General features: G+C 46.3%; 1 long non-coding RNA gene and 1 pseudogene across 1 annotated transcript, besides 1 other annotated feature; both read right to left on the reverse strand.

The window, feature by feature from the left end:
- Positions 277–1476: an enhancer, noted in NCBI's record as "MED14-independent group 3 enhancer chr19:53797962-53799161 (GRCh37/hg19 assembly coordinates)". NCBI's record gives its function as "activates an origin of replication core promoter dependent on BRD2, BRD4, P300/CBP and CDK7 cofactors, and independent of MED14, by STARR-seq in HCT116 cells {active_cell/tissue: HCT116}" and the evidence as "EXISTENCE:reporter gene assay evidence [ECO:0000049][PMID:35650434]".
- On the reverse strand, positions 4616–7694 carry FAM90A28P (family with sequence similarity 90 member A28, pseudogene; annotated as a pseudogene).
- LOC107987270 (uncharacterized) lies at positions 7591–14146 on the reverse strand. Its single transcript, XR_001753995.1, has 4 exons — positions 14065–14146; positions 9503–9607; positions 8503–8675; positions 7591–7752 (listed from the first exon to the last, which is right to left on the reverse strand). It is a non-coding gene; the product is annotated as an uncharacterized LOC107987270 (long non-coding RNA).
- Positions 14147–14673: the final 527 nt, after the last annotated feature.

Consider the following 14673-nt stretch of genomic DNA (forward strand, 5'->3'; position numbering starts at 1 on the left):
GTTGGTGTTTAATCCAAGTGATAATGAAAACTGACTTGTAATGTGCTTAAGGACTTTAGCTCCAAAATTAATCTACTGTTCAGTCCACCCTAGGAGAATTATAGACTCAATTTTCAGAATTATTAAGAGTGCACTACAAGACCACCATGCTTCTCAAAGAGATAGGAGAGGTCAAGAGGAATCACCTAATCCTGTGCAGAAAGGGTGTCTCCAAATGGCAGTTGCTGGAATACGAATGTTTTCTCTCATCCTTAGTGCATGAATGCTTAGTGGAAACTGATTGTCTCCTCCTGAAAACATCCATAGTCTCTTCATACTGACAGATTGTTTTCCATCTTCTAGTTAAAGAATCAGCATTTAAGGAAGTGGTAACATACAAACTGGGTTTCAGAGAGCAGCCCTTGGGCACAAAAGTTTCTAATGATGTATTCTCTGGTTTAAGCATAGTCTCATATGAATCCCACAGTGTACTGCTGGAAATGAAAGCTGGGAGTCGCAAAGAAAATGAGTACTTGAACAAAAGATTTCTCAGCAAGGCAATTTTACTTCTGCAGAAGGGTGCTGCCTATAAGCCTGATTGCCATGAGAGCACCCCAAACAAAGGAAAGCAGGGATTCTTATTCCTAACGCATTGGGCCCCTACTGCTGCGTCCTATCTCCGTTGGCTGGAGCTGGACTGCACAATCTAGACTGATACCGATTGGCTAAAAACTTAAAACTTTACTAAATAGGTAAAGGCACAATGGGGAACAAAGAAAGGGATGGGGTTGGTTGTAGGAAACTAGGAAAACAATAACATTTCCAAATAAGGAAAGAAGCCTGGGCTGCAAGCTGGGACATGCCTGGGCATGTCTAGGCCTGTCCGGACAGGCCAGGAAACATATGGGTTAGGCCTCTTGGTTTACAGTACAGGGATATAGGATTACTTATTTCTTTACTGTGTTTACCAACTGCCCGGGGCACAACAAAGAGTTATTAGTAGGGTAAAAGATTTGTTAATAGTATGAAACATGAAGGAAACTTGAAAGAAGCTTTTAAGTGGGACTATCATTCTTAGAACTTAATATTATTAACAAAAAGGGAAGTTTTGAAGAGGAACTTTTAATTTCCACAGTACAATTTTGATTTGTAAAATACACAAAATTTAACACGTTAAAGATTCCATTTGTACAAGGGGCTTCCACTTAACATGTTTCAGAAATCATGCTTTATTGCTATTACTTTTACTTGTATCAATTATGAATATAGAGATAAGTATATAATTTGAAATTACTAACATTAGGTTTCTACCTTGTATGATTTTATCACATATTGGTGTTTCATTTCCCATAGTTTGGAGCAAGACATAGTGTTCAGTGATTTCTGTGATAGGTTCCAATTTATTTCTGGCATAAAAGCAAAATCTTATGTCTGCTGCCATCTCAAGATAGAGGCAATTGTGCATTCTTTAAATATGATTTGTCATGGAGCAGTTCCTAGAGAATTATAAGGTCATTCTGCGTCTATGTTATGTTAAGATATCTCAATTTTATTTGAAGTTTGTATTGGCATATTCTATAAATCTTTATCCATGAATGTAAACTTGTTACAAAGTTACAAAATAAAATAACACCAATCTACAATAAGAGGACAGGACTTAAAATGACTCTATATACATCTGCATTACTTGAAGAAGACAGTTAAATTCTCCCTTGCATAGAGTTTAACTCCACCACTCTTTACCAACCCTGCCAAGGTCAAGCCCCCTCTTTGCTCTAAAATTTTGGATTTTGACAAATCAGTAGCTTTATCCATCTACGTGTTCCTTAGCTTTCCAGTGAAAGTAATAGTCCTGCCTGTTCTGTGATCTGCCTGCCTTGGCCTCCCAAAGTGCTGGGATTACAGGCGTGAGCCACCGCGCCCGGCCCGAGTGTACCTTTTTGAGTCATTTTCCTTGAGTAGCCCTCATGTTTTTGACATCATTTGTCCACTCCTGTTCCAAAGCACCCTTTCAAGGATTGTTGTATAAGAAATCATTCTAAGAGATGTTGACACTGTCATCATTGGGGGTAAAAGACAGACATGACCATGTAACAAAGATTCTGCCTCCTGCTTGAAGGCCCTACATATTTCATGACAGTCTTGATGATGGTGGGATGCTGAGAGAAAAATGATTTTCTGGAAAAGGAAAGGACGGGTTGAGGGATAAGAGAAGGCACGTGGTCATGGAGTACATGTGTTCATCAAGCTGGAAACAAGGAGGAGTAGGAAGCCTCCCTGCTCTTCCATGCTAGTGAAGCTCATGTAAGGGAAGAAGGATTTAAACAAGCAACTGAATGTGCTTTGCTTACTATTCATTCTTTTCCTGGCAGAACAGTGAAGATTCAAGGGTGACTTGAAAGCATTCTAGCTTCCGTATTTGAGCCTTAAGCAGCCAGCAGGCAGGTGGCACTGGGAGGGTCGAGCTTTGCTGCTGCCTTCCTTACCAGCGCAGACACTCTCCTGCTCTGCACCCCAGTTTCTTCCTCTGTCCCTATCCTGACTTCGTCAACATTAAAGAAGAAACTAAATATTCTTGGAATTTGTTGTAAGTGGGGAACTCAAACTTCTACAGCTCTGCTGGATATGCATGCCCCTGTTTCCATTCTGGCCTCTGTGGTGCATTGCAGGGAGGGTGGGCTAGGTGCGGGGGAGGCTGAAAGTCCCCGGGGATAAGCATGGGTCATGGGTGCACGCGTGGGCAGAAAAAGAAAGGCTCCGTATCTGGCCCTCCCTGGTTGCTGAACGTACAAGCAGAAGAAGGAAGCTTCGCAGAACTTAGGGTGAAGAAACAAAAGATGAAACCTCCCTCTACCCTGGCAGGCCCCATGCTCACCCCATCTACACCCGCGCATTTCCCACAGGCTGCCTGGGATCCTGTGGTGCAGCCTGCTAGAGTGTAATTTCTCTATCAGGGAAACTGTTTGTACAGCAAATTGGGTGGCCGGAGTTGAAGAGATGGCTCTCACGTAACGTATATTTAAAAATTACCTTACTAAAGCACGCTGGAGGAGTTCAACCTGAGCTTCCAGATCACTCTTTATATTTCATGGCTTCCGCCCCCATCCAAGAGGCAGCCTGGAGACTTCCATCCACTGCTTTTTAGGGACCAGGTCCTAGAGAGACAGGGACGATCTCCTGAGACTGAAATCCCACCCTCAGAGCCTTCTGATCTTTCTGGATTCAGGAGAGTTTCCTCCCAAGGTGAAAACGGGAGGAGGCAGGTTAGGGAAGCATTGTCTTCGCCCTCTCCCTCCAGTGTTTCCTAACCTTGACCCATGTTTGACTTAACCTCAAAGGGTCCACCCATCCCTATATCCAGCCTCACACGGGACTTAGAACATGACTCTCTCCAAGGGTGGGACCCAGCCAGCGGGGGAAGCTCACCAGGAGATTCCAACGTGCAACCAAGTTGAGAGTCAGTCTATGTTTGTGCTTCTCCCACTTTAACCCACATGTGAAACACCTGGGGTTGCTATATAAGCTGCAGCTACTGATTGAGCAGGTGGGGGTGGGGCTGTGCCTGAGGGTCTGTGTTTCTCAGAAGCTACGGGTCTGCAGGTGACACTCTGGGCACCCAGTCCTCTTTGCTCAAGTAAATGAAACACGATGATTGAAATGTAAAGAAATTGGCCTGAGGTGAAAAGGAAAACTCAAAACACCTGTAAAACGTGTCATAGTTCAGAGAATTTTATTCATATGGAAAGAAATTAACCAAGCAGAATTTTACAATGACTTTTAATAACAAAAGTTCCAAGGCTAATAGAGTACATCATTACAAATGAAATTCATTCACAAACTTGAATTTACTCTATTGTTTACTTGTGGTATGATAATAATAATAGTAAGATATATTTTACCATGTGCCATTCATGACGTGCTTTGCATAACTTATTGAATCCACTGAATAACTCCAACACTGAGAATATTGGTACCTCAACTTTACACATGCGCTAGCTGAGATGCCCTCTCTACCACAGTGGAAATCAGAGTCTAGGTAGCTTCATAAAATAAATGGAGTATTTCCCTTGTTTGATGTCCTGGAAAAATGTATACCATATAAAAAAGAACAGTTTCTTAAATGTTTGAATTCAATGATTTAAAAAAAACACATTCTTCCAAGAAAAAAAAATTTCCCATTTTCCAAGGCTAAGCGTTTCTCACTACAACTCTCCTTCACAGTCAAATATTCTTGAGTCAGGAGACACTGACGTTTTCCACTACCATCAAAGGGCCCTTTGCCCAGAATTACTCAAATTTCAGTGGTTTGCTCCCTCCCTAGATGAGTTTCAGAGCTTTTACTAGTGGAGCATTGTTTGCTTATGTTGACTCAGTTTCTCATATAATTGTATGTAATTGAAAAAGAAATCTATAGGACACTTTCAACAGCCCCATTTTAATACAGGTTAAATTTACACAATGTAAATAGGCAGGTTCGTTGATCCCCGATAGTATCTGGGGTCCACGTTTGAACAGACACCGCTGCCAGGGAGGGGCTGACCCCGCACAGGGCTGCTTCCTGCCTCTCCCCTTCTCAGCCTTTCAGCCACTTCCAAGTCGCATGGGCTTGAAGCTGGGTCTTCTTGCCTTGGGGGCCTCAGTCACTGTCACTGTCCTCAGAGGAGGAAGTGACAAGAAGGTCCTCATAGAGGACACTCGTTGAGACCTGGGGACCCCGCCCCTCAGGCTGCCTTGAGAAGCGAGGGCTCTGAGCAGAAGCAGAGTTTTCAGGAGGACGGGATGTGGGAGGCGTTCTGAACCTGGGGCTCTTCTGTCCCTTGTCCCCTCTCATGAAGGTGACACTGCCGGGCCTCCCTGGAACATGAATGGGTGGTCCAGGCTGGAGGACGGGGCAGCCCTGGGCTGGGCCCAGGAAAGGTGAGCTGGGTGCGGGCTGGAGGTTGACTCTGGGCTGCAGGGTTGCTGTCTTGGTGGCTGCTGTCTGTGCAGTCGCCTCGGGTGCCTGTTTGGATCCAAGTCCAGTTGCAGTGCGGGGAGGCTGGAGTGTCTGCACAGCGCCCACATCCGGGAGCTGAGTTCTCAGTGCAGGGGTCTGGAAGGAGCTGAATCTTGCTTTCTTTGCGGGGTTCTGGAAAGTCTGGGTGGGGACGGGGCCAGGCTCCTTGTCTGGTGCCTGGGTTCTGGAGTCCTGGCCACACTGTTTTCTGACTTGCTGTGGTCTGGGCTTTGCATCTGCAACGGGATGTTTGATTTCTGCCTGGGATTTAAGGCCAGGACCCAGGGCAAGCGCCTGCATGGCAGGCTGGAGAGCACCATGGGAGGACATGTCAGGCCTGTTGGCTGGCAGCCTGGCACTGAGAGTGGGGGTCTGGTGGGAGCTCTTCAGAACAGGGAGCAGGGAGGCAGTAACGTCCCCGCCATGTCCCTTGGTGGGTCCACAGGTGCTCAGTTGAGGTCAATCGTTGTGACCCGAAGGGCAGAGTAATCTCATCTCGGGTTTGTTGACAGGCGGTGGACCTGTGGACACAGGGCCCAGGACAGATCTCTTCTTGGTGGTGTGGACAGGCAGTGGCATGGTAGGATGCTACGGGAGAAAACATCCCACATGAGACAGCTCAGCAGTAGAATTTCCAAACTCTGAAGCAGGGAACTCACATGCAAAACCACATCACAACAGACACTGTGTGAAGATGAGAAGCAAGCTAGGACAGAGGAAAATGGACAGGCTGACATGAGAAACAGAGAATAACAGGCACTGGGACTGCGTCTAAATCAGGATCAAATATAGGGAAGACCCTCCAAAAGAGACAGGACGTAGGAAATTAAACGTCACAGAAAAGGATGTACACATGGTCACTGAATATATGCAGAATTGTCACTTCAGGAATAGTGTTGGGGAAAGATAGCCAACCATTCTGTTTGCTGCGACTATCACATATGAAAATTAAAACCGTCTTTATGTTCTCTATTGTTAATATCAAGGGAATATCAATTCCCCAAACAACGTGGAGACTGGAAATGTCACAGCTCCTTTTGAAAGCAGTTGTAAGATCATGCATAAAAATGAAGGAGACGCCTTATCTGCAGCCAGTATCCCGAAGGCATCTGATCAGTCACTCCCCACGGGCACTGAAATGCGCCCAGCAGCATTTGCTGGCCAACTTGCAAATAAAGGTACAGAAACCAATGTTTTAACAAAGAAGCTGGAAACTGGAGTATGCAAAGTCCTCAGGTAGCGTAGTTCTCCTGCAGGGCAGCCTAGGTCTTAACATGACCCCCACCCATGAAGGGCACAGAAGTGAAGGAATCAGGGGACCTAGAGGAGAAACAGAGCAGGGGCAGGGGGAGACTCACCCTCAGGAATGAACAGGCTTCCGCTGGCTCCTTCCAGGCTTCCTGCGTTTTCTCTTGGGGAGTTCTGGGAAATGTCTGCTTCGGAGCTCTGTTCTGCTGCTGCTGGGGACTGCAGAAGAAATCACGTTCACTGTCTGGACCTGCCTGACCCTCCTTGTCCACACCAGTGACTGGGAACCAAGCACCCTCCCGGAACCCAGCCCTAGCCCTTGCTTTGGGTGAGGGAGGCGTTCAGGCCTCTGTGAACTCTGCCAAGACAGCCCCTTCTCTCATCTCAGAAGCAGCCCCACTTCCAGGAAGCTCCGCCCCCCACCCCCACCATGGCCCCAGGTTCTCTAAGTTCATTCAGGCCCTGGAACTGCTCTGCCTGCCTCGGGTAACATCCCCAGGTCTCCCACAGCCCCTGCCCTCTAGAGACTCTCAGCGCTGGAATAAGCTCGGAGTGCGGACCCTGGAAGGCAGGGGCCTCCGTCCACCTCCATTTGGAGCTTTCCTTGTGTGCTTAGAGAAGGCTGCACAGAAAGACTAGGGGAGACACCAGCTCCTGAGGCGCCGACCTCACGGATCTTCCTTGACCCTGCAAAATCCTTACCTTGGACTTCGCTCCTTTTCTCTGTCATTCGTCGTAAAGGGCCCTGGAGTCGTAAAGGGTAGCTGGGCCTTTGCTGGTTTCAGGTTCTCCTTCTCCTTGTGTGAGCCCAGGACCTGCAGAGGAAGGGCCCCACTCCACCTCTTAATGGGGCAGGTCTTGTTCCTGGCTGAGTGCCCAAAGGCCCCGCAGTTCTTGCATTTCACCTGCAGGTGGAGGAGGACACAGAGCAGTGAGTCAACAGCAATCACAGGCACCTGCAAGGTTCACACAAGGCCTGGGTTTTGGAGATGGATTATTTTAGGAGGGGGACATACGCCCATGGGCTGTTGGTTGCCAGGAAATTCAAGATATTATCGTCCTCCCCAGAGCCCGTTTAACAGGGATCCCAGGAGGAAGGACGCTTGTGTCTGAGAGTGAAGATAATGAACCGGTGTTGAGGACTCGGCAAACACCAGGCTGGACATGACACTGGACAGAGAATGAGGCTGCTCCTCAGAGACTCCGAATGGGCCAATCTGCCAAGACAGGAGGCTGACCGATGTGGTCAGACTGAGACCAGTGGGAACTCTTAAGTCATAATCACGAGTCCCATGTTCAAGCCCACTCTCTGGTGTCCATAGGTTACCAACATTTTCAAGCCCCCACTGACCCTGGATTCCTCCTGCTCTGCTGGGAGAGTCGTCTGCCCCATGGGTCTCCTCTGCTGCTCCTGTGGGTTCTTGGCTCCGGGGGGCCCCTGAGCCTGATGATGGATGGGATGACCGGCCATCTGTGGCAGGTCCTTGAACTTCTGATCATTCTTCTTCATTAAGTGGTTGTTGGATTTCCTAGTCATAAGAAAAAGAGAAAACATTACACAGACACCAGACGAAAGTCCCTCCTACCCCTGTCTACCCAAGTAGGGATGGAGGGATGCACTGGCCACTGAGTCACGCCCACTGTAACTTGGTCCTCTCTGAACCCAGGTCCCAGTTGTGCTATTTTGTGACTCTCTCCCATCCTGACCTACTCCCAGAACAGGACACAGATTTTATAAACCAAAGGCTGCTTGATTTCTAGAGGGCGAAGTGAGATTTGCAGCCTTGCATAAAAGTTTTCTGGGCTCTCGGTTTGTGTGCAGTCAGTGCCTCAGAGCTGAAACCCTCTGACAATATTTATCAAAGCCAAGACATGAACAGCCAACAACTACTGATTTTTTTCCAGCAAGTTCCAGAAAACCAACTATTTTCATAGAATAGCTTCTCACTCAGAAAACCAACCAGAAGCTCAAAGCTTTGCAAAGTTTTCATATTCAACCTATGGACACTCGTGACGTTTCACGTGAGACCCCTGTGACCACACGCCACTCTTCACACAGAGGCAGGCACAAAGCCAAGTGAGGACCAGCCCTCTGAGGATCCTGCGACGCTGACACATATGTGCGTGTTCACGCCAGGCTTCGCACACATCACTGGCCGTGTCATGGGGGGACACGCAAGACGGAAGCCTCCAGGCGTGTTCAGCAGAAACCTCGAGCCCACACTGTGCTTCAGAGTCTCCCATGCCGTCCCTACCTTACTCCCTAATACTTATCTTACCTCTCCTCTTGGTATCAAGGTCTCTGTGAAATTGTGGGTGGCTGGTCCACTGAAGCCTGGCATTTTTTATTCGAGACACAGCGGGCGGTCGGATCCTCTCCTGGCTTCAGAGGAAATCGCAGAAGAACCTCCACAGAGGCGAGAACAACCCATTTCTCTGTCATCAAGTCAATCTAATGCAGAGAAAGGAGAATGGAGAGGCAACCTGAGTTCTGCAGGCAGGAGGAAGCCTTGGCAGAGGAGAGGAGGAACTCCCATCTTCCTGAGATTTTAAAGGGAATGCTGGGCAGGCTCACATTTCATTGTTTTTTTTTTCTTTTTTTTTAAAGAAGTCGTTATGTGAAAAAGATACTTGCACACATATGTTTACAGCAGCACAATTCGCAATTGCAAAAATATGGAACCAGCCCAAATGCCCATTAATCAATGAGTGGATAAAGGGACTATGGTGTGTGTGTATCTATCTATCTATCTATCTATCTATCTATCTATCTATCTATCTATCTATCTATCTATCTATCTGATGGAATACTACTCAGCCATAAAAGGAAGAAATTAATGGCCTTCGCAGCAACCTGGATGGGATTGGGGACTATTATTCTCTGTGAATAAGTCACGAATGCAAAACCAAACACCTTATGTTCTCACTCATGTGCGGGAGCTAAGCTATGAGGATGCAAAGGCAATCTCACAGTTCTTTACTCCAGAGCTGGTGAGGAGTTGGCTGATGACCTTCAAATGGCACCAAGAGTGACAGCCCAGGGTATTGGGAAGTGCTGCTGTTCCCAGGTGGGAACTAAGGGGCCATGGCAGTGGCATTTTCCCATGTCCCTTTGAGGAATTACGTATCGATTTTAATGGGTCAGTGCCCGTGTATGGAGGGTGTGAAACTCTGAATATGAGCCGGTCATGGACGGGGAGCCTGCTTCAGCCTTCCCCCAGGCTTGGACTCCACCCATTCCACCTGCCTCCCAGGTGACCCCGCAGCTCCCGTACTCACATCTCTTTGTGGGATCCCGCACTGCTTTAAGAACTGCTTCCCCTGTTCCATGGAGAGAGTGTTGGGGTCCATCACTGCTGGTCCTGCCTGAGGGATTCTCTTTCCCTGTGGAGGGTAGAAAATGAGACGCTGATTCCTTCCTATCCCTGGACTCTCCCAGGCACAGGATGCAGTCAGCCCCATCTCTCTGCTGTGCCCACCGTGTCCCTAGGAGTAAACTCACACATCCTGTCATTCAAACTACAGGGACACATCCTTCCTCTGCCAGTGACATGACACCAATGTGAATGAGAAAAGCAGGTGATCCATTAAAAGAATTGTTCACTGGACTTAGCGTGTTTGATATGTATGCAATGCAGGTCCCTCCTCTGGAGACTCTCATAGTATACCATCAAACATCCGGAAAAATTGATCGTGGAATTGGCCTCAAAGAAAATTCAATATATTAGAAAACTGAATATTTTAATCATCTGTACACCCTCCTTGTCAAAACTAGATATACCTACATTTTATAAGTTCTTTCTAATATTAAGGACGTTTTAAACTATGAAGCACATTCCTTGAACTTTCTGAAATCAGACTCCTTGAGATCAAACAAGATATTCAAGGGAAACCATCAAGTGCTAAGAAAATACAAAATAAAGCACTTTTATGTCCAAACTGATGAGCAGTGCAAAATGTGGGTTCAGGGGAAATGTCTTTGGCTAAATGACCACAGTGCTAGGGAAACAGGAGCATAGGAGAGTGAGGGCGACACCATTTAGAAATCAACTCCATCTGAAAACTAGTGAGGCACAGTCCTGGCCAGTCACCACCCTGGTCCTAAGACGTTTGTGGCTGAGGAAGCAGCTTAGCAATGCCTGGATGGACAGACTCCTATGAAAGCAAAATGTCCAGATGCCCCATATCCAAAGCAATAGATACCTTCAAGATAATGATAGCTATGCTTCCTGAGCTACACACTAGAATGTCAAGGAGAGTTTTCTTTAAATCAACAGAATACTAAACATTGTCATGCTGTCAGTCCACCACATGTAGACACAGCTTAGTTGAATCTTCACGTGGACAAAACCCCTATATCAGAAAAACTTAAAGACAGTGCATTCTTCTGGTTGCGTTCTGAGGTCACCGTACTCTGTAATATAGTAGCTGTCAATAAACTCTCTTCACACTGCTCTCTGCAATTTGCCTGGAATTCCTTCCTGCATGAGATCCAAGAACCCTCCCTCAGGGTCTGGATCGGGCCTCTTTTTTTTCCACAACAACATGATTGAAAAAAGATAAAATCTGGGGGAAGCACTCAGGCCTATGGAGACAGCTTACAGACAGAACAACGAAAGATTGCAAAAGAAATAAAAAGATGGAAATGGTAAATCAAACAATAAATTGGAGCTAATGAAAAAATAAATAGAATACAGCAGGAAAACGTACTCTTTCTTTGAGAGCAGTAGTAGGATACATTACCATGGGTTACCACAGAAAGATAATAAAATTTATCTTAATAGATCATATCAGGGAAAAGAAAAGGCAATAATGCCATGAAAATAGAAAAAAAATGATCAAGGAATGCTATCTGGAGCAAACGCACTTGAGAAATCTAGAATAAAGTGCGCGTTCCTTTTCAAAATCAAAATTGAGAAGTGAAGAAGCATTTTTAACTACATATTTAAGTAGGATCATTCTTTACACCATCATTATAGACTAGGCACTCACAGCTTAAGTCTTGCTTGCCTTAATCTTTGGGTAGAGGCTCAGGGCCCTGAATTTATACTAGCTCCTAGCAAAGGTCAATGAGTATACTGGAATAAAAGATAAGTGAAGAAATCTCTTATCTAATAGCTTCTTCGTCAAAGGCACCAGGTCTCCATAACTGATCATCCAGCACCCACACAATTCAGGGTGCTGGGTGATCATTCTTAGCAAATGTTGACCTTTATGTAATCATTAGGATTTCTGAAATATTTTTTGAATCTGGCTATGTCCTAAGAAATACTGTTAAATGGCTGGGCGCAGTGGCTCACGCCTGTAATCCCAGCCACTCCGGAGGCTGAGGCGTGAGAATCACTTGAACCGGGAAGGCAGAGGTTGCAGTGAGCCGAGATTGTGCCACTGCACTCCAGCCTGGGTGACAGAGCGAGACTCTGTCTCAAAAGGAAAAAAGAAATACTGTTAAACAATTAAGTATTCTTTACCTCAACATCTAAAACCGCACGCTAAAGAGTTTTCCCACTATTCTATTTCTCCCATTGGGATAAATGAACGCCCGAAATAGTAATGGACTAACCTGTTCTTCTTGCCTACCAGCAGCAACTCAGGTAAGTGGACCCAGGGCAAACTTCACTCCTTACGCTGGGGCTTCCACAGTGAAGGAAACAAAGCTCACTGAGGGGAAGGTCCCTTCTGCTGGCATTTATACTGCTCCAGAGCCCCGCAGCCACTCCCCCTGGCTAACCTAATCGCGATATGATCTAATTACCTCTCCCTCTCTTGATTTATTTGGTGATCCTGTTCCTAGCACTTTTGTTTTATCACAGATGTATACATCTAAAACAAATAATTTGCTGTATGCTCATCTCATAAAATTTTAAAGTTTAACATAGAAGCATATGGTTTGAACAACACAAACTACTTTCTGCATGTTTCAAATATTGAGGCATACATCAACAGCCTGGCTGCCTCATTCTGCGTTTTGCACCGAGGTGGGCAGCTCGGTCTCCCCATGGCAGGAAGCTCAGTGGCAATGTGTACTGGAGATTCTGGCCTTTGTGGGGCCAAAGATAAGTGGTCTAAGAACAGCCTGGTTCACTATGTGTCGGGGGAATAGATGAGGTTGTGCTGTATGGCCGTAGGGGATGGGTCACCCAAAGTCTCAGACGGGGAGAACTGTAACAAGCCAACAGCTCAGTTTCAGCGACAGCTCCTGGAAAGTCAGTGGCTCTTGCTTTTTATCCCTGACGGGAACAGGAAGGCAAGGAGGCCTCCAGGGTGTGGACAGGAGCTCAGCAACTGAGTGGGATTAAGAGATCCTGAGGTCTAGATAGCACCTGGTTATTGAGGGTGGAGTGTAGACTCACCTCTCTGCTAGATGAGGGGGCTGAGTCAGGACGTGGGAGTTGATATAGTTTGGATGTGTGTCCCCTAATCTCCTGTTGAACTGTCATCCCCAGTGTTAGACCTGGGGCCTGGTGGGAGATGATTGGATCGTGGCGGCGGTTTTCTCATGAATGGTTTAGCCTCCTCCCCTGTGGTTGTGTCCTTTCCAGAGTGAGTGAGTTCTCCTGAGATCTGGTCATTTAACGGTGTCCAGCAGCTGCCTCCTCACTCTCTTGTCCCTGCTTTTGCCATGTGAAATGTCTAATCCCTCTTTGCCTTCCACCATGAGTAAAAGCTTCCTGAGGCCTCTCAGAAGCAAAAGCTGCCATGCTTCCTGTGCAGCCTGCCGAACTGTGAGCCAGTTAATCCTCTTTTCTTTATAAATGACCCAGCCTCCGGTATTTCTTTATAGCAGTGCAAGAACAGGCTGATACAGGAGTGGTCCCAAGAATTCTCACAGCGATATCAGGATGTGGGGTCCCTCTATCCCATTCGGGTGGGTTTCTCACCCACATGAAGCAGAACTGCTGAAACTTGTTTCCTGACACATTTTTATTTGCATTAATAATTTACCTCCCCCACATTTATACTAAAAATCCACATACAATGATTCAGTTAGACGGGAGGAATAATTATTTGAGATACGGTATAGCATTGTGACTATGGTTAACAATAAGGTATATTATTAACATGCAAAATTAGAAAGAGAGTGAATTTCAATTGTCCTCACCAAAAAAGTATGTCAGGAATTGAGATATTAATTTGATTGACTTAAAATTTCCACAGCATATACATCTATCAAATTAGTGCAATACACCCCATAAATATATACAATTATTATTTATCAATTAAATTTGTTTTTTAAATTCACACACAAATGAAAATGGAAAAATGGCCAGTAGCTGATTTCTGCACCCAATTCTTTCACCCCCAATCATACACTACATACTGTGTGACCCTACGCAAAAATAAAATCTCATGTCTAGCACTATCAATTACGGGAAAAAGAGTATTTTTTTAAACAAAGATGTTTCCAATTACAGTGGATTGTTTTTTATTGCAAATATTTCATAGATTCAAAAAGGATTTTAAGGCGTCTCTTATTAAGTATATTTAATTTACTTTTAATTGACAAATAGTTCTTATGCATACTCACGGGTCCGTGGCGTCCTTAGGATAGGTTTAATGCGTGGTGATTAGGTTAGGGTGATTAACATGTCCATCATCTCAAGCCTGCGTCATGTCTCTGTGTTGGGGACTTTCCCTCTCCTCCCTCTAGCTACTGGAAACCCTGCGTTATTGGTAACGATAGCCATCCTGCAGTGCCATGGGGCACAACACGGTGGGTTCCTAGGCGCGCTCCCCAGCCTGGGCCCTCTGGAGGCGTCTCCCGGCAGTACTGAGCCACGTGGCGTGGACTGCACGGGGTCGGTGACTTCAAAAGCCCCACTTAGATCCTCTGCACTTACCCCCTGCAGAGCACCGACAGCCCTGCTCTGGAAGCGCGGGTCTGCTTAGATGTCCTAAGCAACTTCTTGCACCAGGCGCCGCCAATGAGGAGTTCGGTGGATTTCTAACCAAGTCCCATTTCACCGAGAGCGGAGTCCCGCGGGGACCAGGAGGTTCCTTCTCGCTCCGGGAGAGGGCGCTCCTGCCCGGCGTTTGTAGCGGCGGCTTCCTGGCTGCTTCCCAGCGTGGATTTGCACCCGGTCGATTTCCTGCGGGTGGGCGGTGCATGACCCTGGTTGGACGCCCTGTTTACCCCTCTTCTCCTTGGGCTGGAACTCCCAGAGCTGGAGGCAGTGCAGCCACGGCTGCGAACTCAACACCAGCACATTCTTAGAAATGGAAAACCCTTTCTTTACCTCTGATGTTCATACCTGAGAGTTTAAAAAATACTTACAAGTTTTATTCCAGGTGGCGGGCTCACTTGAAAAGCAAAGATAGATGTAGATAATCTTTTGTGATTTTATGCATTCATATGTGAAACGCATTTAGAATGATATCCAGTATGCAATAAATGTTAAAAATTTTTGTCTCTTTCACTCCAGTTTGAAACCGTCATTATTTTTTTTAAT

This window comes from Homo sapiens, chromosome 19, assembly GCF_000001405.40.
Source record: "Homo sapiens chromosome 19, GRCh38.p14 Primary Assembly".
In the NCBI taxonomy this organism is placed as follows: domain Eukaryota; kingdom Metazoa; phylum Chordata; class Mammalia; order Primates; family Hominidae; genus Homo; species Homo sapiens.